The following is a 24,979-nucleotide window of genomic DNA, read 5'->3' on the forward strand; positions in this document are numbered from 1 at the left end:
TAATATGCCATTTTCAATCTATTTTGAATGGCAGAAATTCTTATGAAACAGTTGTATTTATTGCAGAGGTTATAATTTAGAATTAAGAAAAACTGTAGATTTTATTTATTTGGTTTATGTATTACTCTTTTGTGAAGGCATTTGTATAGAAATTGTCTGTAATACTACATAGAGAAAATAATAGCATAACACTAAACGTTGTTGTGTTAGGCTGTTCTCACACTGCTGTAAATAAATGCTTGAGACTGGGCAATTTACAAAGAAAAGAGGCTTAAATGGCTCACGGTTTCACAGCCTGTACAGGAAGCATGATGCTGGCATCTGCTCAGCTTCTGGGGAGGCCTCAGGAAACTTTCAGTCATGGTGGAAGGCAAAGGTGAAGCAGGCAACCTCTTCTATGGCTGGAGCGGGAGGAAGAGAGAGAGGGAGACAGGTTGCAGACACTTTTAAACAGCCAGATGTCATAAGAAGTCTGTCACGAGAACAGCACCAAAAAGATGGTGCTAAACTATTCGTGAGAACTCCATCCTTATGATCCAGTCACCTCCCAACAGGCTCCACCTCCAACAATGGGGATTACTATTTGACCTGAGGTTTGAGCAGGGACACAGATCCAAACCATATCAGCTGTCATGATTTTGCAATATTTGCCAACATTCTGAATTGCTTAATATGAAACCCTTAAAAATTAGATTGTTTATTATTTGTCATAATCCCATTGAGTCTAGGATAAACGCAGGATAGTTTCAAAGTACATTATTTATGAATGTATATGTACAGTAAAGCGTTACTATAAACTATATGTGTATATACATATCTCCATTTGATAATAGCCATTTTTTGCTATTTAAATATATTGAATTCACAGCTTTGAAAATAGGTCTGTTTACATTTAGAACTAATGTAATAGAATTATAGTATTCAATAATATTAAGTAATGGCAAAATAGGGTAGCCTTTGATTAAATGGCAAATCAGGTAAATAAATATGCATTAGAAAAATGAGAAATGGAGGTAGGGAGGAAGAGAAGAACAGAGAGAGAGACTGACTCCTATAATGAGTTAGAATAGAGGGACTTGTTAATGACAGTGCTAATGATGGTGTTGATGAAATGTTTAATAACAAGTAATTATTAGTGACAATTATTTTATAGTGCATGTTATTTAGCAAAATTATAAGAGAATTTGTTCTATTCCTGAAATTAAAAAAAATAAAATTTAGTGTATATTATAACTTGACATAAGATTCATTTAGTTTGCTTTTGTATTGAGCTTTAAAGAAATTTCCCTAAAATATAAAAACTCTAAATGTTTACTTATTAAGAAAATTATCAGTTCCAAAGGTAGTTTTTCAATGTTTCATTTTAAAAAAGTTAAAAGTACTTTCATTTCTCCTAAAATTTAACAACATTGATGGGAAACGAAGCAATAGAGAGAACTGGACCTCCAACATTTAACAGAATGTAAATCATTTGAAGATCATTCAGTGGAATTTTTCTGTAAAGCCATAATTTCTTTCTTTGTTTTTAAAGACAGGATCTCACTCTGTTACCCAGGCTAGAGTTTAGTGGTACAATCACAGCTCACTGCAGCCTTGAGCTCAAATAAGTCTCCCTCCTCAGCCTCCCAAGTAGCTGGGACTACAGGTGCACACCACCACACTCAGCAATTTTTTTTTTCTTTTAGAGCCTGGATCTCGCTTTGTTGCCCCTGCCTGGTTTTGAACTCCTGACCTTAAGCAATCCTCCCACCTTAGCCTCCCAAAGTGCTAGGATCATAGATGTGAGCCACTATGTCCAACCATACTTTCTCTTGAGAAGTGATTCATTATCAGTGATTTTAAAAAAGAGATAGTAATTAGGTATGACCAAAATTTTACTAAAGATTTAGAGTATTCTTTCTCTCTCTCCCCAACCCCTCCTCTTTCTTTCACTCTCATTCCTTTGTTTTCCTTTCTTTTTTTCTTTTTCTTTTTCCCTTTATTTCTTTGAAAAAGTATTCATCATGTGTGTTATACGTAGCAGTTATTGAATGAATGAAAACATGTAAAGGAGAAATAAATGTGGGTCAGAACTAGTAAGTATTTTGTGGAAAATTATCTTGGGACTCATCAAAGATAATTTAGAAATGGTCATAAAAATCATTTTAAATTCTACTATTTTCTAGTCATTTTATTCTATAAGTTGTTGAAAAACCAAAATCTTACAATTGGATTTCATGTGAAATTATCTTATGCTGTTGTCTCTCTTTCAAATGCAAAGTTTATGTGTTCTGTGCATGTTAATGCCAATTTTTCATCATCCCACCACGTTAAGAAATTTTCTGTCCCGAATATCTTTGTCATATGTACATATTTTAGACAGCTCTTCTGGCCAAGAATATGGATCATTTGCAGCACAGAGGCAAGTTGATATATGTAGCATCATGACAGTGAAGCAAATTCCACAAAAACTGCTAATGGACGGAGAAATTTCATGGAGAAAAGCTAGCAGACAGAGCTGGAATAAAACAATGGGTAAGTCTGTAAGTGAAAGTTAACTGTTGGCATTTTATTTTCAGGACAGTTGTTCCAATACAGCCTTGTCAGTAATAAAATAATGTTTCATTTTGCTATTCAAATTCTGATTCATCATGAACTGATTCTTTTTTTGCTTTAATCTCAGTAATGAATTTGAACAATATTAATTCAGCATCCTTCAGAGAATACTGTGTTTATGTACATTTTGTATTTCTGTCTTACTTTTGACAAGAGAAGTCTATTAAGTACTTTATCGTAGAGATCTTCCTTTTTTTGGTGAAATGGCACCAGTATCTGCCCAGCTGCCGAAACCTGAAAACAAAGGTCATACTGAATTATTCACTCTCTTTTATTAATACTTCCATTCATCCAATCATCTCTAGGCCAGGTTACCTACCTCTGAATTCCTCCAGTCCTCATCTTTCCCTTCCCCTGTCACTGTCACTATACCAGGGCAGGTTATCTTTATATCTATATCGATATCAATATCAATATCTATATCTTCTATATCTATATTGAGAGAAAGTGCAACAACCCCTTTGTTGACTTGCTAGCAATCAAGTCTTTGATTTGCCAACAAAGTATTCCTTTCAATGCGCAGATTTAATTCATATAGCATTTTCCTATTCACATTTCTTCCACTGCTTGCTGTCACTGGATAAAATGTAAAGTTTCCTTGCATTGCAAAGGGGCCTCATGATCTGGCCCTTTTCACTTCAGCATCTGCTTCTTCCTATTCTCTGTCCCATCACCAGCTGAGCAGAACATCTCATGTTTCAGCCTTCCTCCAAGAAGCTCTCTTACCCACCTCCCCATCCAGGAAACATAAGCTTATCTTTCAAGTCAGGTTATTGTACTCAAGACTCCTCCACACACTTAAAGGCTACACTTTCTGTGACCCTAATGTACCCTGGACTTATTCATCTTATGTTATTACTTTTTTATCTCTACATCAGACATGAATTCATTGAAGCAGAAACATCTATCATTTCTGTCTTGAGTCCCCAGTTCTCTGCATTGTGAGGATAACATAGTATATGTTCAATAAATATTTGTTGAATAAATGAATGAATCAACTACTCTGTGATACATATATATGCATGGATGACTGCAGACAACCTAAGATCTTCATGTTAAAAATTAGCTCATCATTTCTTTTCTTGATTTTCTTGTCTTAGAGTTACGCATCCATTCTCTAAAGTGAAAAGACTGTGAGTAACCTGGTTTCTCTCTCTCTCTCCCTCCCTCCTACCTTTAATAAAAAAGAGATCAGAGTCATATGAACTTAAAATTTACCAAATTTCCCTCAAGTTAATTATATGGCTAATATTTAACTTATATCTTTGTTCCAGGCTCTTTTCATTCCAATTCATTCTCCAAACTACTGCCAGATTTATCTTTTCTGAGATCCCATCTGCATCTCCTCTATTTGAAAATTTTCACTAATTCTCATTGCCTGTAAGTATGGTAGCCTGAATTGTAAGACTCTGCCATATCACCGCAGCATGTCTTTTGTTTACCATTTGACGATAAAACCAATTCTATGTATACCCTATACAATAGTTACACCAAATATTTTGTCTTTCCCAAAATACGCTATATTCACAGGTATCTTAAGATATTTAAACATGCTCATCACTGCTTGGGTCAGTGAACTCCTATATTTAAGACTCAAAGTTGGATGAAAGTTGGATGAAAAGAAATGCATCAGACCTTACAAGATCTTACTCTCTACCCTAATACTCCATTTATTTATTTATTTATTTATTCACTGATTTCTCAAACTTTATTTTTACACTAATTTTAGGTTAGGCCTTATTTTAGGTACCAGAGTGTTAAAAGATTAAAAATAAAAGTTAAATCCTGTTATTAATAATATTCACACACTTGAGGTAAAATAAATAGCATAATATAATTTTTTTGAAAAATGTACTAACAATTTGTTTGATTTTTCTTACAAAACTCTCTAATTATATGCTTTATAGACTATAACATTACAGTTTTTTAAATTGCCAGAAATATCCTCTTTTGACTCCCTGCCTTCCTTTACTTCTCATCATCAGTCTCTGAGACGTATCTTATTTTCTCTTCAGTTTCTCGATGATAATTCTCAATCTCCATTAAGATGGAAGTCTTTGAAATGTCCATAAATCTTGTATATTACTGTAGTGTTGGAGAGAACACTGGAAACGTACTGTTCTCTGAGGTGTTTTTAGTTGTCAGTCATGCTCCTTGAATCCTATTTTTCAGGGACTGCATTTTAATCATGGTTCCCATGCACTGTTAACTATTTAGTTGACTATCTCTCCTGTCATTTGTGAATTTCTTGAGGGAAGGAGCTTATCTTGTTCATTTTTAGAATTCCAGCTCTGCACAATGTTGGGTACATAATACTCAAACATTTTTTGAAAAAATAAGTGAATGAATGAATGAATGACTATTGCCATTTCACTCTTGACTTAGGAGATAGACCCCAAATATTTGTTGACAGGCAGTAGCATTGGTTGCTGACAGAGAATGTTCTTTTCTCTATTTGCTTTTTTCTCTATTTGCTTCACTAATAGTTCAGAGACACTCCAAAAATCCTTTTGGGGATGTAAATGCTACATTTTTATTCTTTGATATTAATGGCATAGATACTCTCTTCAGCAAACACCTCTGAAGGAATTCTTTAGATTAATTGACACTCCCCATCACCTGTCCAGAATGTGCTAGCTCCATTACATGCATTGTCTCATTTAATCCTCATTCACCCCATCTTTTTAAAAAATTGATGTGTAGTAGATGTACCTCGTTTTAGGATACATGTGATAATTTAATACATTCAACTTCTGGGCACCCCTTTAATAGGCCTGCAAACCTCTGCTTTTCTCACTTGACTTGTATGCTTGCTGACAGTCAGGTTCTGTTTGTTCCAAAACCTGTTAGTGCCAGCTGTAGTTAATATGAAAATTATGTCATTTAATTAAGATTGTATAAACTTGCTAATGTTAAATATCAAAAACAAGAAGGTTATTTTTTTCTGGGAAAACTAAGTTGATTCTTTCAAAAGATGTAACGAAAAAGAATTGCTAGAAAACTGCTTTCAAATTAACTTTGGGGAGGTCTCTATAAAAGACTGAGAGGAATATGTAATCATATAACTTCAGATATAGTCTTGGATTCTAGCTCCATTTATTTATTTATTTATTTATTTATTTATTTATTTATTTAAAGATGGAGTCTCGCTCTGTCACCCAAGCTGGGGTGCAAAGGCGCGATCTCAGCTCACTGCAACCTCCACCTCCCGGGTTCAAGTGATTCTCCTCTCTCAGCCTCCCGAGTAGCTGGATTACAGGTGCATGCTGCCACACCTGGCTAATTTTTTGTATTTTAATAGAGATGGGGTTTTACCGTATTGCCCAGGCTGGTCTTTTACTCCATTTATTTTTTTAAAACAACCTTAAGCAAATGCATCATAAGTATAAAGATGAAGCAGAACCCGAGGATTCATATCCAGGAAAAGGCCTAGGTTTTTCTAAGTTAAAAGATCAGCAAATAAATGTACATTTAAATGTTCTAAGCTGAAATAAAATGTTGAAGGTAAATATTTATCGTTTTAATGATTACCCACATTAACTTACTTTTTGATCATTTGATCATGGTTTTGGTTGCTTGGGTAAGATTGCTTCTTATGGATTTACAATCTTCTTTCTAAAATGCTGTATTTATTTTTATTTTTGATAGTAGTCATAATCACATCTAGTAAGAAATTAGTGTGTGGCAGGCTCTGTGCTAGGTCCATTAAATGCGTTGTCTCATTTAATCCTCATTATCCCCATCTTTTTTATTGATACATACTAGATGTTCATAGTTTGGGAGTACATGTGATAACTTAATAACTTTGGATAATTTGTAAAGATCAAATCAGTGTACTTGGGCTATCTGTCACCTTAAACAGTTGTCTTTTGTTTATGCTAGGACAATTTGAATGCTTCTTTTCTAGCTATTTTGAAATATACGATAGAGTGTTGTAAACTATAGTCACCCTAGTTGTCTGTCTAATACTAGCTCTTATTTCTTCTATCAAAAAGTATATTTGTACCCATTAATCAGCCTCTCATCCCACCTCCCTAGTACCCTTCCAGGCTCTGGTAATCACTGATCTACTCTCTATCTTCATGAGATTCACTTTTTTTTTTAGCTCCCACATGTGAGTGAGAATGTGATATTTGACTTTCTGTGCTTGGCTTGACAGTGTGGTGATTCCTCAAGGATCTAGAACTAGAAATACCATTTGACCCAGCCATCCCATTATTGGGTATATATACCCAAAGGATTATAAATCATTCTACTATAAAGACACATGCACACGTATGTTTGTTGCTGCACTATTCACAATAGCAAAGAGTTGGAACCAACTCAAATGTCCATCAATGATAGACTGGATTAAGAAAATGTGGCACATATACATCATGGAATACTATGCAGCCATAAAAAAGGATGAGTTCATGTCCTTTGTAGGGACATAGATGAAGCTGGAAACCATCATTCTGAGCAAACTATCGCAAGGACAGAAAACCAAACACCGCATGTTCTCACTTATAGGTGGGAATTGAACAATGAGAACACTTGGACACAGGGTGGGGAACTTCACACACCAGGGCCTGTCATGGGGTGGTGGGAGCGGGGAGGGATAGCATTAGGAGAAATACCTAATATAAATGATGAGTTAATGGGTACAGCACACCAACATGGCACATGTATACATATGTAACAAAGCTGCATGTTGTGCACATGTACCCTAGAACTGAAAGTATAAAAAAAAAAAAAAAAAAACAATTACTCCAGTTCCCTCCTAACACAAAAACAAAAACAAAAACAAAAACAAAAACCATGCACCTTGATCCAATTACTTTTAGTCACTTTCTACTGAAACATTTGAGTAGATTTTGGTTTCCTAAAAATTATTTTACAGTATCCAAGGGGAAGTATCTCTTCTTCATCATAGCACAGGGCCCTAAGTTGTTGTTTTTTTCAGCATGTGACTATCTTTAGAAAGCCCTCAATTCTCATGGAAACCATTCATAATACAAGGATACTCATGGGCCCAGACAAATTAGTATAGAAAAGTGCCTTACCCTTCACTACAGAACAAGTTAGGAAGGTCAACTGTGGGCAGATGTGCAGGGTCTTGAATTAATGCTTCAGAAGCATAACTAAAATTTTACTTTTCTTTCCTGTATCATCCAAACCAGTGATATAACCCTTCTGAGACTCATGATAGACAAAACAGTTCTCGTGTACCAGATTGCTTTGTATGGGACCATATGTCTAAATCCTTAACCAAAAGTCTGAGATTTAAGAAAAACATAATCCCCAGACACAGTTATTAGGTATTCCAAATCCTGTTAGGCTGTGAGTTTAACTGCTTATGCAAAGTGGATTTGGTCCCTCATACACTGTAGCATTGACATTGGAGAAAAAGAGGCACAACCAGGAGGTGGAACAATAATGTGTTAATTTAATGTTCCACCAAGTTGTTGAGGGGTCAGTGATCTGAATAAACAATGAAGCAAGTTTATAAAATTAACTATGGTACTCCAAAGAACAGATATTTTAAGTGTTTTGTTCAGTTTATTTTTCACAAATGTTATTAAATTTTTATTTTAGTGCATGCATATGTTACGTATCAGAGCTCATAGTTGAACAAAGGAGGGAATAAATTAGCAATTTGGGGAATGTTGAAAATTAGAATGTTGGGTCTTGGCTGGGCGCGGTGGCTCTCTTATGAACTTGAATACAGGTTCATAAAAGTAAAAGGGAAAACTGTGCCTGGGAGAGGCACCAGAGAAGAGAGGAGTCTGATAGTCTGGAGATGAAGTTCTCTGAGAACTCCCACTGCAATTAGGTAAGAATCCACTCTCATGACCATGGTTTCTCAAACTGCTCAAAGTGCTGGTGCAATCCCAGCACTTTGGGAGGCAGAGTCGGGCAGATTACTTGAGGTCAAAAGTTCGAGACCAGGCTGGCCAACATGGTGAAACCCTGTCTCTACTAAAAATACAGAAATTAACTGGGTGTGGTGATGCGCACCTGTAATCCCAGCTACTGGGGAAGCTGAGGCAGGAGAATCGCTTGAACCTGGAGGTGGAGGTTGCAGTGAGCCGAGATTGTGCCACTGCACTCCAGCCTGGGGTGACAGAGCGAGACTCTGTCTTTAAAAAAAAAAAAAAGTTGGGTCTACAGAACGTCATTAAACTCAGTTTGCAAAGTAGAGCCCAGGATATAAAGAGAAAAATTAAGATAGGAGAGCACAACTTGAATACAGGTTCATAAAATTACAAGGGAAAACTGTGCTGGGAGAGGCAACAGAGAAGAGAGGAGTCTGAGAGTCCGGAGATGAAGTTCTCTGAGAACTCCCACTGCAATTAGGTAAGAATCCACTCTCATGACCATGGTTTCTCAAACTGCTAGGTGCTGCCCCCTCTCTGGAATCTTGTACTTTCTAGTTCACCATTCCCAGCTATATCAGCAGCTATTTTTTTTCTTATTTGACACCTCCCTCAGCTTTTCATCCTTGCTGTCCCATTTTTTTCCTTGGGGGTGGGGAATGCTCTCCCTGAATCCTCACATGAATGGCTCCTTCTTGCCACTTTTATCTTCCTTCAAATATTACTTGTTCCAACCCATGTTCCATGACCACCTGCCTAAGGTGGGCACCCACACTCCCATCCCTCTTGCCATCTTCTCTCATCTACCTGTTCTATTACCTTATAGCACCTACTGGTTTCGAAATTATTCTTACTCATTAGTTTACTTGTTTGTTTGTTTTTATTTGTATCTGTCCAGTTTGGTCAGAATATGACCTCTTTGAGGTTAGACATTTGTTTGTTATGGTATTCTCCGTGTTCATAGTAGTGAAGGTAGGCTGAGCATGGTGGCTTACGCCTGTAATCTCAGCACTTTGGGAGGCCAAAGTGGGTGGATCACTGGAGGCCAGGAGTTTGAGACCAGCTTCGGCAAGATCGCAAGACCTCATCTCTACCCAAAATAAAAATTAGCTGAGCGTGGTGGCACAAATCTGTAGTCCTAGTTATTCAGGAGGCTGAGGTGGGGGCATTTTTTGAGCCCAGGAGTCCTAGCCTTCAGTGAGCTGTGATCATGCCACTGCACTCCCATCTAGATGATAGGGCAAGATCCTATTTAAAAAAAAAAATGAAAGAAAGAAAAAAAAGAACACACACACACATATATATATACACACACGCACACACACTCACATATAGGATAGTGAAGGTACTTAATAAATAATCATTAAATAAATAAATGTGTATTGACATAAAAAACACTAACAAGAGATATATGCTATGTTTCCAGTGGTTAAAACAGAAACAGCCTATATACGGTTTTAAAAAAGCCTCTATTTGCACAGGAAAAAGTCTCCTGAAATAAATATATTAAAATATTATTATGATTTTTTCATCTTGTGGGGGGAAAATTTTACTACAGTCTCTATATTAATATAATAAATAACAATTAGCAAATTTATATGCTTATGATTACTTACATGATAAAGTGAAAATATAAGAGAAAAATGTTCGAAAAAGTTGACATCAGTAGAAATTGTGCAAGCAGCACTTTCAAGATGGCGTAGAATGGTTAGCAAACAGCTCTCCTTTGTGTTTCAGCATTTAAAAATAAAGCAAGAAGTTTTATTTTTTTCCTGATTTGATTAAGTGGAGAGAATAAAAGAAGGGCAGCTAGCATATGGAGCCACAGAACTTCTGGCCAATAAAGAGTGTAGAACAACAACAACCAAAAATATAAACTCTTTACTTGTCTAATTGTTTAATTAAGGAGAGTAGTTTGCAGGTAGATGATGGAGAGTAGGTTCTGAAAGTCAGATGGATGAGGATAAAAACCTCCAAAAGAGCATTTGAGTGTAAACTGGCCTTATCTCCAGCAGGACATTCAAAGTAAATCTACCCACTCAGAGCCCTCAGAAGAAGGCTATCTTTGGGACTCTGTTCATATTATCCCACAACCAGATGTGATTCTTATTCTACTTCCATCTCTACCTGACTCTAGTGACACTTTTTGTATGCATGACTTCTGCTGATATGTTTCTTTGAGGGTTGCATGTTTGATATACTTTTGAGTACCCCCTCCAAACCAATACACTGCTTAAGCCATGATATACACTAAATAATTGTTTGTTGCATAAATAAATTCAAAGTATGCAATTTAGGCCAGAATTGACTGACTGTGCATGATCAGTTGAGTGTTTATTAGTAGTAATACAAATGCTACATCATATATCAACATCCATTTCTCAAAAAGTATATTCTTAGTTTGGAAGTGCTAATAAAAACAGTATTTGTTAAACATTTGCCAGATCTTCTTGAGGAGAAACTAACTGCATTGCTTTTACAGCCCTGATCTCTACAGTTCTTAGAACAATGACCATAGCATTCTGAGTCCTTCAAGATTTTCAGGTCAATGAAGGATTTAGACATAGGCAGTGAGTGTGTGGATTTTTTCTGAGAAATTTCTTTGGATACTTAGATGGAAAGAATTTGTTGCGTCCTTAAGTTAGGTCTCCCATGCTCAGCAACTAGGAAGTAAATAGAACTTGCAAAGTTAAAATCCCATTACATGGAATTCTGTAGTTAAATAGGCATGGCAGTATGAGAGAAAAAATGTTAAATAAGTATGACCATGCTTATTTGAGGTTTTGACTATTACTGACACGTGTAATGGTTCTTAATAATAATAGGTCTCTTCTGAAAAAAACTTCAGAAAAAAAGAAAAACAGGAAAAATAAAAATCTTTATTAGAAACAATTCATAGTCATCTAAATCTCATAGACTATTATATATATTGGGATAAGTTAGAATAGAATATAAAAATGCTGTATAGTAATCCATAAGCTAAAACCTTAACAAAATGAAAATGAAGAAATATAAAATAACTCAAGTTTCATAATCTCTACAATGGACTTTCTTAGCATTTTTGGGTTGATGGTCTAATATATCCTTTTCCTGAATGTTATGATCAATGTATTCATGATAAATGTTTTCAGTGAAGATTTTGATCTTTAAGTTATAAAATGTTTGTTAGGAAACCATTAGCGCTACCCATTAGATCTACGAGGTTGGAGGAAGAGGGCTTGACTGGGTGTACACAGCTTTCTTCTCATGGCTCTGTTTGGGGAAGAAGAGATGTCCTGCTCCCCATTGGCACCAGACTCTTCTCATTACATCCTGGGCAGTGCACACAGGAGAAAGAGAAGCCCAAAGCTGGTACAGGTGCAAAGGTGGTGAAATCATTGATGCTATGCTGTGAGAACTCTACCATCAATCAACTAGCACCAGTGGGAAGCTCATCAGAGGAAAAAACCTTTTCTTGTTCATAAGTCGGGACACATGTCCTCTAACGAAACTGTCAGTGTGTAGCTATTGCCGTTACAGCCATTTTCCTTTTCCTACTATGTAGAAAAAGCCCAGAGGGAAAGAAAATATCCCAGAGAAGGCAAGACCCTACAGGGCTGTGAATCGCCTCTCCAAGGTCTGGTGGGAGAATGCTGTCAGTCACATTGCTTCCCAGAGATTAAGTCTATGGTCACTTTGATAATGGCTTGCTCAATTTAAAAACTGTTACTTGAGAGAAAAACACAGCTAGAACATAGTACACCCAACCTCAACTGGCTTTTCTACTATCTCAGGATCAAAATGTACCCTGTTTTCACTCTGCTAATCAAGTATTTGTATGAATATGCACTGTATTCATAAACCCAGTCTACTACTTACCAGATATATTGATGGAGGGTTTGCCTGTCCTTCTCATTTACCGAAGGGCAGAATGTCCCATTTATTTCTCTTGAGCTAAAAGCTCCATTTACCCTTATAAGACAAGAAATTAGCTCAAGCTTCAGCTGGTGATTCCTAGCTAAGTTTTTGAATACAAAATAAAATAATGCCATAATGGAGCTCTTCCTCTAGTTCTCAAGTTTTTGCTTTTTTTTTTTCAAAGCCTAATTCAAGAGAGCCAAAATGCTACATTTCTATGAATCAATCTTTGAACAGTTTAATTTCCTGCTTCCTTGGAAAAGTAAGTTTGTAAAATAAGTTATCTGGTAGATCTCAAAGACTAAAATATCATCATTACTTTGCTTTATTAATGACAGGTTCTTGACAACGTGTCCCTGGACTATGGTGCTGGGGCTAAGAGTCATCCAAACACCCCCAAAACTGTATGGAAAGTGTTTGGTCTGTGCATATTTGTGCTTCTTTTAGGAAAATTATTAGAATAGGCTGCATTGCCTTCATTATAGTCTCAAGATATCCTCAATACCAAAAAAGGTTAAGAAGAACTGATTTGTCAGACATTGTAGAAGTAATATTAGAATATACTCTTTGAAGGGCCAGGCGCAGTGGCTCACGCCTGTAATCCCAGCACTTTGGGAGGCCGAGGGGGGCAGATCACAAGGTCAGGAGATCGAGACCATCCTGGCTAACACAGTGAAACCCCGTCTCTACTAAAAATACAAACAAAATTAGCCAGGCATGGTGGTGGGCACCTGTAGTCCCAGCTACTTGGGAGGCTGAGGCAGGAGAATGGTGTGAACCCGGGAAGCAGAGCTTGCAGTGAGCCGAGATTGCACCACTGTACTCCAGCCTGGGGGACAGAGTGAGACTCCATCTCAAAAAAAAAAAAAAAAAAAAAAAAGAATATACTCTTTGAGACAACAGAAAATATCTTGGACGGCTACCAATTCAAACTATTCCCTCCTGATGTCACTTTTTAAACCAGGATACAGGAATTAATTCAAAGGAAACTAAAATGGATTGATAATTATTTTTAAAGTGTGATATTTAGCCTTTGTAGTGTTGAATATGGGATATTCTCTTTGGCAAACTCCATGAATGAAAATACCCCAGTAAGACAGGCTACATTTAGTTTTACCTTCAAGGGTGCTTTCCTATGGAAATAGATGTTTTTTAATAGTAGCCAACTTCTGAGCATATAATGGGCAACTCATATGAGTTGTCAGTAGTTTTCTTTAAGTTGAAACTGTTTTCCTGAGAAAAATGAGAGACACATTAAAGAATTAATTTTTTTTGAGACAATATCTGCTTTGTTGCCCAGGCTGAAGTGCCTTGGCGTGACTACGGCTCACTGCAGCCTTGACCTCCCAAGTTCAAATGATCCTGCCACCTCAGCCTCCCAAGTAGCTGAGACTACAAGCATGTGCCACCACACTCAGCTAATTTTTGTATTTTTTGTAGAGACAGGGGTCTCACTATGTTGCCGGGGCTGGTCTCAAACTCCTGAACTCAAGATATCCTCCCACTTTGGTCTCTCAACGTGCTGGAATTACAGGTGTGAGCCATCACGCTCAGTCAAGGAATTTAATCTTTTTTTTTTTTTTGAGACAGAGTCTCACTCTGTCTCCCAGGCTGGAGTGCAGTGGCCCGGTCTTGGCTCACTACAACCTCCGCCTCCCAGGTTCAAGCAATTCTGCTGCCTCAGCCTCCCGAGTAGCTGGGACTACAGGCATCCACCACCACTCCTGGCTAATTTTTGTATTTTTAGTAGAGACGGGGTTTCACCATATTGGCCAGGCTGGTCTCGAACTCTTGACCTTGTGATCTGCCTGCCTCAGCCTCCCAAAGTGCTGAGATTACAGGCGTGAGCCACCACGCCCGGCCAAGGAATTTAATTTTAACATAATCCTTAAACTTGTGTCTGTGTTCATTTTGTATTAGATAAACTGTTGGTAACAATTACCTTGGCTATCCTTTTAGCTAAACAATTTAAAGATTAAGATATATAAAAATAATATGATAAAATTGGAGGATATTTGGTAGGTGGGTTCATCTCATTTTCAAAATGTATTTTAAACATTAAATTGCAATTTTTTTTTCTAATACAAATTTCAAGCAGTTATTCACCAAATTTTGTTAAGCACACACTACATACCAGGCACTTGTCTAGATGATGAGGACATAGCAGTGAACAAAAAAGACAAAGTTCCTGTTGTTATGGAGTTTATATTCTGGGGGAAGAAATACGATAAATGAATAAGCACATGAAGTTCAACACCAGATACACAAGATTTGCATGAAGAAAAATAAAATAGGATAAGCACACAAAAGCTATTTAGCAAGTGTAGATGAGAAAGTGGAGGAATTGGAACGTTTGTACACAGTAGGAATGAAAAATGGTGCAGCCTCTATGGAAAGCGATATGGAGGTTCCTTAAAAAATTAGAAATAGAATTACCTACTTCTGGGCATTTATCTAAAAGAATCAAAAGTAGGATCTCAAACAATATTTATATCCCATGTTCATTACAGCATTATTAACAATAGCCAAGATGCAGAAACAATCTAAATATCCATCAGTGAATGAATGGATAAAGAAAATGTGGTATATATTGGTATATATAGTGGTATTTATAAATATGGAATATTTTTCAGCCTTAATAAAGCAGGATATCCTGACATATGTGACAACATAGATGAACCTGGAGGACATTATGCTAAGTGAAATAACCCAGTGATCGAAGGGCAAATACTGCACAAATACCACTTATGTGAGGTACATAAAATAGTCAAACACATAGAACCAGGAAGTAGAATAGTGGTTTCCAGGAGCTGGGGGAAGGGGAAAATGGGAAGCTGCTATTCAACAGGTATAAAGTTTCAGTTATACAAAATGACCAAGTTCCAGAAATCTATTGCAAAACATTGTGCCTATAAGTTAGCATTACTGTACTTTACACCTAAAATTTTGTTAAGAGGGTAAATCTCATGTTGTGTTCTTACTGCAATTGAAAAGCCACAAACAAACCAAAACAAAAGATAATTCCTCCTTGGTTTTTGCTCTAGAACCAGGAAACTTCAGTAAGTTGAAGTCATATGAACAAAAGTATGTGGACAGCCCTATTAGTAGCTTTTATAATGTTTTAAAGAGTATTAATTCTTCCTTTTTTCTAAGAAAAATTTTCGTAAACACATGTAAGAACAAGTGTGATTAATAGTTTTGTACTGTCCTTTATATTTTATATTTCATATTTTATTTACATTAGAAGTCACAAATTATTTCTCACTAAGGCTAAAACCTCTACGAGCTATGCCAGTTGTGACCACTTTTTCTGAGGTTCTCTCAACTGTTGGTAAATCTCCTTCGCTAGGTCAGATACTTCTTCCTCTTCTTGGAGTTATCTCTTGGGTCTCTCTTTTCCCTCCTCATCATCTTGCATCTGTCAGCCATACCAATGGTAGGACTACAGATTTGGCGGAGCTTGCAGTGAGCTGAGATCATGCCACTGCACTCCAGCCTGGGCGACAGAGCGAGACTCCATCTCCAAAAAAAAAGAAATGCTTTGCAAGAAAGCATCGGTGATTTCTTCACTTCATCTTCCTTAGTTACTATGGCAACAGTCAGAAGAAAAATAACCCCAAAACTCATCAAACATGGTCATCGGAACTCTTCCTCAGCTGCCCATCTTCCCATAGGCATTAAATGAATCTTGTGCCCTGGTAGCAGACCTTTATTACTGACTCTCAGCAAGTGATTACTCTGCAAAATAAAATGAAAAAAAAAAAAAGACAAAGAATGAAATTGATTAGTTACAACATATTTCTAGGCTTCAGCATTTTCCATGGAAAAAATAAAAAAATGTATGATAGTGTTCTAATGCCTTGAAGTCAACAACTTCCAAATTTGGGTGAAATGAGTCATTTTGTGAAATTATTTAATACAAATTACTTAAAATTTGGACATTTATAAAAATCAACTTTTAAATATATGAGCTGGGAGGAGGCTATGGTTTAGAAACGATTGTAAAGTATGTGGCTGTTTGTATGTTATTTTTTCCTACCTTCTCTTAGGTATTTCCATGCTGTTTTGTGGTAATAGTGAGGAAAACCAGGTGTTAACTGTCAGGCTATTCCAAGTCATTTTGCCTTTTTGATTTAAATAAAACAATTTAACTATCACCCTACAAAAAGCAGAAACCTGAGTCTCTTCCAAAAGTCGTGGGGGCTCTGGAAGTGATACTTTTCCTCACTGCCTCCAGCCATGTCTTCCCTTTGCCTGAGGTCTTGTCTATTGCAGGTATTTTCCCCTTAGTGCCGTCCACCGTTGACCGACATCCAGATTCTTTCATCATCCAAATGACCACACGCATGCTGAGAGTCTGTAATGGATTTTAATAAAATTTAGGGCTTAGGTGGGTGATGTATTACACAGCATTATGCAACAAGTGAGTTAAAATTGAATAACAGAACTGGGCTGGGTGTGGTGGCTCGTGCCTGTAATCCCAGCACTTTGGGAGGCTGAGGTGGGTGAATCACCTGAGGTCAGGAGTTTGAGACCAGCCTGGCCAACATGGTGAAACCCTCTCTCTACTAAAAATACAAAAATTAGCCAGGCGTGGTGGCGCACCTCTTTGATCCCAGCTACTCGAGAGGCTGAGGCAGGGGATTCACTTGAACTTGGGAGGCGGAGGTTGCAGTGAGCTGAGATCACACTACAGCACTCCAGCCTGGGAAACAGAGCGAGACTCCATCTCAAAATAAATAAATAAATAAATAAATAAATAAATAAATAAATAAATAAAATAAAATATAAAATAAAATGAAAAACAGGGCCGGGCATGGTGGCTCATGCCTATAATCCCAGCACTTTGGGAGGCTGATCCGGGCAGATCACTCACACTGCACTCCAGCCTGGGCAACAGAATGAGACTGTCTCAAAAAATAAAATAAAATAAGTAACATAACTTGCCTACTAAAGTCACTTGGCCATTTTCCCTGAACATCTCACCGTGTAGAGCCCTGGCTCCTGGCCATCTTGCTGGGCCCCTCCTTCTTTTCTCTGCAGGTCCTTGAATTCCCTGTGTCTCTCTCTTAAGCTGTTGGAGAACCTCCAAATTCCTCTTAATGTAGTGTATTGTACAAATTTATTTCTCTTTATTTCGTTTTTCCCCTTGCAGATTATCATTTTTACATTTCCTTTTCAAATCTAAAACTACCGTTAATAGTTTTGCTTAAATAAAGAGCCACTTATCCTAGAGAGAAATAACGTTGCTTACATAGGAAGTACAATTCCTCTAGTCAGTTTTGGCCCTGAATAACAGTTTAATTTTCTTTCACAGAGAATTTAGGGTAGAAATGTGTATTTGTACAAGATACTAATTTTATGTGGATTATGCTGCACATTTCAATAATTGTAACTAATTGATTGGTTTTAGTGATACATTATCTTCTCAGTTTTAAAGGTGAGAAAGATGAGGGGCATGGATATTGTCACTTATTTAAAATCACAAAGCCAGCAAGTGAACAGAAGCAGAATTTGGTCCCAGGCCTTTGAATTTCTATGCCAGGATTCTTTACATTATACCAGTTGACACCAGTATACATTAATATGAAGGCTGCATATAGAAACCCCAACATAATACTTGAAAATTGTCCTCTCACAGTAGTGTCTGAGGTGCTGGCTTAAACTAAGGAAATGGAAAATGTTATAGAAAGGTCAGAGAAGAGCCACTGACTATTAAACAATGGGAAATTGGACTTTGTGGAGAAGACTAGAAAATGTGATCAGATTAATAGTCTGCCACGCTATGATTATGCCATGACAGTGTCTTTAAGGCAGGTTTTATGAAAGGACATGTTTGTGTTCTGTGACATTGACTTCAAAAGGTTATGGTTGTAGCTGAAAAAATTTCTAACTTCCCTTAGTTGATTTGTGGAATCGTGTGAATTCAACTAAACTCTTCAAAGACCTACTTTTTGTTCTTGTTTTTTTTAATCGACAATGTTTGGATTTCATAAATATACTCTATAAAGTAATATTTTTGTATATTAAAAACACCCTTTAAAAACTTCCTGATGGGATAAATGTATCCTGTCATCGTGGCATACTAAATAATGAAGTACAAACTTAACACATAAGTCAAAATTTACACACTACAGTCAGGCAAAAAATAGTTACTATCTACCTATAACTGATCTCATCTTGTTCAGGAGTCTCCATTTATACTGAAGCTGGACTGAGGCTGTCCAGCAGTGGAATTAAACATGCCAATTAAAGAACAATAACCCAGTTCTTTTTCCACTTAAGACAATTTCTTTCAGATTAATTCAGTATTATTTGAGTAAATAGACAATTCAGGGCTTAATTCTCTGCCAGGTAAGTTTCTTCCCTCTCTTGCAGGCCTCTCTCTTCCCTCTTCCTTGTTAAGAAGGGATCAGGTGCTGGAAGATCCCAGATATCCCCCTGGCGTTCATGGCAATAGTGCTTAACTCCAGTGGAGCTCTCTTATCCTGCTGTCTCTGTATAGAGGCCTCTGACCTCACTGCTGTGTCTTGTGCTCTGTTCTCAGGGCATGGGCAATACATGGTGATCGCTCCAGGGTTTTAAACCAGGCTCCCTCCTCTGTTCTCAGCTGGGACTCCCAGGTGATTTCTTCTGATTTTCCTTCACTACATTACCCAGCTAGTGGCTCACTTTACCCTGTTGGGAGACAATTTCCCATGGCTATCTGACATTTCTGCATGTTTTGTGAGCAATGAATGGATAGCTCTTTGTTTTGGACTGTCATTTCGAGGATCTCAACAGTCTCAGGAGGTAGAGATACTGTCTTCTTTGGAGCACAGAGCAGGGATGTTTACTGCCCGTATGAAAGAGCTGGGTTCCTTAACCCGCGTGCAGCCGTCATTCAGTCTTCTTTCTGTTTCCCTGTGGGACTGGGGCTTGCAGAAGGAGCATGAGAGGTACTGATAGCCAGACCATGGTGGTTACTCTGACTCATCAACCTGACCTTCATCTCTGTCCCAGGGGTCTGATGATTTCTTCCAGGATCTATGAAACAGTGGCAGTCTAACTTATTAGCTGGCAAGTAGGGTAAAGTTGCAGACTCTTCTCAGTTTTCGGCACACCCCTCAAGAACATAGCCAGCACCTTCACCTTTCTCCTGAGTTTCACATGGTTCGAGGGACACTTGGGAAATTCACAGTCCCTTCTGCACCGTTCACAGGCCGTGAAGAACTGGAGAGTGCAGTCTCAAGGTCCTTCCCTGCCTAAAGATGCTACACCTCCCTTTCCACGCTACCATGAGTGACTCCCCTGTGCTGGCGCCCCATGACAGGGCCTCCTGAGACAGAGCCAATGGGAAGTAAGGCTTCTGGCTCACTCACTAATCTTGATTCTTGATCTATAAAAAGAAGTTCTGTTGTTTATAAACCCTCTTTTTCCTTTCCACAAAGTCTCCTTTTCAAGGTTGTAGCATGACTTTGTGTCTCAAGGTACCAAGTTGTAAGTCAAAAGCTGTAACTGACTCATTTTATGTGTATTCTTGCTCAAAAGATCCTAATTCTCCTTTCAGCCATGTGTGACCTTGGCTAGATAGAGGACAAATAATTTTGATATGATTCCAAATATTATTCCTGTAGCACCTAGACATATTTGCAAATATGGATAATGAATAGACACATACAGGCTTCTTTAACTTGCCTTGGAACATGAGAGTAAATAACAAAAAATCAATTCAAAAGTATGCATTTGCAAACCTTTCAGGCTATAATTACTTTAGTCCATTCTGTTGATTTATATTAGTCAATGGAGTCGGGAATCTATTGATTCAACAGTATTTAATATAAATGCTGCTAATCTTTTTCTTCATTTGAAACCAGATATGAAAACGAAACAAAGCAGTCCTGGAGTAGAATTGTTTTTATTTCCCTGGAAAAGAAAATTCTCAGGGATGAGCTATTATATTTTTTCAAATACAGTTCAGCTTTAAGAGAAAACAGGTTTAAACTGTCACATAACCGCAGCACATGTACTGTGGGTTTGCAAAGCCACTTGAAGTCAGGGGCCGTTCCTCATGGTGTTCTCAGAGGCTTCTTGAGATGTATGCTCAAGGGGGTGCTGAGGAAGTAAAGAAACGTTTTTTCACAGTTTCGGCATGGAAGCCAGCTAAAATGAGCTTGCAGAGTTTTTTACCTGGAATATCAACATCTGTATCTATGCCTATCTCTGTATTTGTCTATATTATTCACTCAACTGATGCTTTAATGATTTTAAAACTTACTTTAAGCTGGAAAATGATTGTACTTGAGAAGTTGATAGATTAGATTTATTTTATTATTATTTTTAAAATGTATATAAACTCAACGGGTACAAGTGCAGGTTTGTTACATGGATATGTTGTGTAATGGTGAAGTTTGGGTGTTTAGTGTAGCTATCACACAAATTGTGTGTATTGTACCCATTAAGTAATTTACCATCCCTCAACCCACTTTCGCTGTCCCACCTTCTGAGTCTCCAATGACTATTTCAGCCCATATCCATGTGTACACATTATTAGCTTCCACCTATACATGAGTACATAAGGTATTTGACTTTGTTTCTCAGTTGTTTCACTGAAGATAATGACCTGCAGTTCCATCAATCATTTTAAAATAATAAAGTCTACCCTTCTAAAGGCACTGTAATGTTATCTTAATAATGATCTTAAGTAACTCTCTTAAATTAATAATAACAATTTTCTTAAAATAGGATTTTCAGTAATGTTAAATAAATGCTTGAAATGAGGGAGTTAAGCTAATCTCATAGTTTGCCTCCAGCTCTGACGAGCTGTGAATCCACAGTGCTGCAAAATACAGATAATATTTCAGAACCTCTTTATTGGGTGACATTGTTCTAAGTGTCATTCATAATTAATTTCATTTAAAATTTGGTGCCCACAGTTTCAGAATTTTGCCCAAATGTTTGGATTAAAAACAAAGTACCTTTGCAATTTTTTATTATATCAGTACTATTAAATTCATTTTGAAATAGCATATGAATCTAAAATATAGAAGGTTCAAAATATCTATGATTTACCTAGTGTACCTTTTAACTCAAGGATAGGACTATTGATTCATCTGTCACTCATATTGGGCTGGCACTAAGCTAAGGGGCAACATTGAGACATTTTGGCCTCTTTTTTCTAAATTGTTCACCTCACTTTTTGGCTTCTCTCTGTCTTTCCATTTCCTTTTCTCTGAAGGTAGGGATGGATATTTTCTGTTTTTTCAGGATTTTCCATTGTCTGCTTGGGCTTCCATAATAACATAACACAGACTGGGTGGCTTAAACAACAGACATTTATTTGGCCACATTTTGGGAGGCTATACATCCGAGATCAAGGTGCTGCAGGGTTAGTGAGGTCTCCATTTCTGTGTTGTTGATAGCCACCTTCTTGCTGTGTCTGCACATGGCCTTTCCCCTGAACTCACGTACTCAGGGCTGGTGTCGGGGCTGAGAATGGGTGAGCTCTGATGTCTTTCCTCTTCTTGTAAGGACACTAGTCCTATTGGATTAGGGCCCCACTGTTATGACCTCATTTAACTGTAATTACCTTCCTAAAAGCTCTGTCTTCAAATACAGTCACATTGAAGATTAGGGTTTCAATATGTGAATTTTGGTAAGACACATTTAGTCCCTAACAGCTGTCATCAGGCTCTTCTCATGCTGTGAAGTTTTTTCTCATCCTCTGCCTTTAGCTCTCCTCAAAGTGTATCTGTCTTCACTCTCAGTATTCTTTCTTTGCTCATCAAATGAAATAGTTTTTAGTGACTACTAATGAGCCCAGACATTAACTAGAGTGCAAGATGATATATTTGTATTTTAAAAGAAAAGTTCCACAAAAACTACCTTACTGCAAGTTACAGAAGATAAAGATACACAGTTGCTACAGGTGACAATTTTAGCCACACATAAGTAGAAAACATAAAGGCTTTTAGCATTGCACCCTTAGGTCATTCTGTTAGAACTCTGCTTTGCCTGTGGATAGAGACAACTGTAGGCTCCTGGCAGGTTGCCCATATTAAAAAGGGAAATTACAGACTTCTGCCCTTTTGGCTCTCTGACCAGCACCATGGTGGTGGGCAAGAACAAGCACCTTACGAAAGGCGGCAAAAAGGGAGCCAAGAAGAAAGTGGTTGATCCATTTTCTAAGAAAGATTGGTTTGACGCGAAAGCACCTACTACGTTCAATATAAGAAATATTGGAAAGACGCTCATCACCAGGACCCAGGGAACCAAAATTGCATCTGATGGTCTCAAGGGTCGTGTGTTTGAAGTGAGTCTTGCTGATTTGCAGAATGATGAAGTTGCATTTAGAAAATTCAGCTGATTACTGAAGATGTTCAGGGCAAAAACTGCCTAACTTCCATGGCATGGATCTTACCCATGACAAAATGTGTTCCATGGTCAAAAAATGGCAGACAATGATTGAAGCTCATGTTGATGTCAAGACTACCGATGGTTACTTGCTTCGTCTTTTCTGTGTTGGTTTTACTAAAAAACGCAGCAATCAGATACGGAAGACCTCTTATGCTCAGCAACAACAGGTCCGCCAAATCCGGAAGAAGATGATGGAAATCATGACTCGAGAGGTGCAGACAAATGACGTGAAAGAAGTGGTCAATAAATTGATTCCAGACAGCATTGGAAAAGACATAGAAAAGACTTGCCAATCTATTTATCCTCTCTATGATGTCTTCGTTAGAAAAGTAAAAATGTTGAAGAAGCCCAAGTTTGAACTGGGAAAGCTCATGGAGCTTCATGGTGAAGGCAGTAGTTCTGGAAAAGCTGCTGGGGACGAGACAGGTGCTAAAGTTGAATGAGCTGATGGATATGAACCACCAGTCCAAGAATCTGTTTAAAGTTCAGACTTCAAATAGTGGCAAATAAAAAGTGCTATTTGTAAAAAAAATAAAAAATAAAAAAAAATAAAAAGGGAAATTACAAACAAAATATCTCCAGTTAATCGGCCCTAATAAAAAATGAACAGCACTTTGGTTATTCTAATGTACTATCAAATACCAGTAAAAAATGCTACAAGATAGGTGAATTGGAGGATTAAACAAACATTCAAAACCATGTAAGGAAAGACTTTTCTTGACCTAGTGACCTTGGAGAATGGATCTTGAAAAGCTACTTCCATCAAAATAAGGATTGTTGTCACGAACATATCCACTTCAGTGGAGGACTTTAAGGAATTTCCTGGCACCCAGCATCCCAGGATGCTTTGAACTTTTGTTCTTCTAGCTGCTGATTTGCAGAGACCTTGTTTGAAATAATGTTTCTGGTTTCCTTGATACAACGATAATCCTACTAATTCTCTATAGTTAGGCTTTGTTAAAAAATAATATGAACTGGCTTTCAGCTCTGCCTGTGGATTTACTCCTAATGGAAGAGCTTTATATTAAGCTTATAATTTTGAACCCGCCAAATTTTTCAAAAGGGCTATTTTTTGTCTTAGTATCCAGAAACACACTCACAATTGAGGAATCTTGCTTTTCAAAAACAACTTATCTGGTGAGTAACAATACCTGTGACTTCAGAAAAGGCAATATATCTCTCACAACACTAATAACACGATGTTTGGAAGAAAAGCATTATGGCTGCTATTTACATGTGGAGAGATCTATTTGTGCACCCCATCTTTCTGTTCATTATAAGCACATTACAGTCTCCCATTCACCTTAATTATTGTTTCAGAACCCAATAGTTGTTGAAATTTGTGTGTCTCATGAGCTAGATGGAAATAGATAATTCTTGAACAAATGGAAGATTTCAATGCAACAGATTTGGCCTCTGACATTCAGAGGCCTTGATAATTTGGTTAAAGTCACTGGGTAGATTTTAGGCAGACAATATTTGCCCAGTGGCTCAGAGAGCTGGATTGTGTTGGGGCTAAAGGAAAGCAAGAGAAGTCTTTATGTGATCTTAGAGCATGCTTAGGGGATTCTGTTTTACTGATCATCAGTAGGACATCATCCTAGTTGACAAAGAAATCATCACAAGAATATATTTGGATTAAGTGCGGATCTTGAACATCAAATAAGGTCAGGCTAACAGCTTTTATGAGAACTTTTTCTTTGTTTGCTGACTCTGAGATCATAGGTCAGTATGAGTAATACTCACCAATTTTTTAAGTACCCATAGATAGTGCCTTGCTAATTTTGTAGGTTGTAAGAATAAAGAAGATGTTTAGGAAGGAAAAGCAATCTTCCTAAGTATCCTTGGAAGTTGCAGACTTCTATTATTACTCTAAAAGAGTTTAATTGTGTGGAAAGTTGAAAGAGAATGTTTGTTGTATGCATTGTTTTCCTGGATGTTACCTGCCAAATGGAGGCACAGACTCTGATAATGTCCATTAACTTGATTTCTTTCTATGTTCATTTTTTTTCCTTTTTGTGGAGATGAAGGTCTCACTATGTTGCTAAGGCTGGTCTCAAACTCCTGGGCTCAAGTGATCCTCCTGCCTTGGCCTTCCAAAATGCTGGGATTACAGGCATGAGACACCGTGCTTGGCCTCTATGTTCATTTTAATTCTGGCCTAATGGTCTGATTTGCTGCTATCTCTGAGAACATTATTATAGAAATTTATACTGTTGATTGTTGAAAGACGCTAC

At 37.4% G+C, this 24,979-nt stretch overlaps 1 long non-coding RNA gene and 1 pseudogene across 1 annotated transcript in view; both read left to right on the forward strand.

Annotated features, from left to right (window-relative positions):
- LINC03111 (long intergenic non-protein coding RNA 3111) overlaps positions 1-24,979 on the forward strand; it is a 36,163-nt gene that overhangs the window by 2,109 nt on the left and 9,075 nt on the right. Inside the window, exon 2 of the long non-coding RNA NR_186639.1 lies at positions 2,359-2,514. This is a non-coding gene — a long non-coding RNA (long intergenic non-protein coding RNA 3111). The remainder of the gene's footprint in view (positions 1-2,358; positions 2,515-24,979) is intronic.
- On the forward strand, positions 22,410-23,266 carry RPS3AP49 (RPS3A pseudogene 49; annotated as a pseudogene).

This window comes from Homo sapiens, chromosome 18 (genome assembly GCF_000001405.40).
Source record: "Homo sapiens chromosome 18, GRCh38.p14 Primary Assembly".
Taxonomy (NCBI): domain Eukaryota; kingdom Metazoa; phylum Chordata; class Mammalia; order Primates; family Hominidae; genus Homo; species Homo sapiens.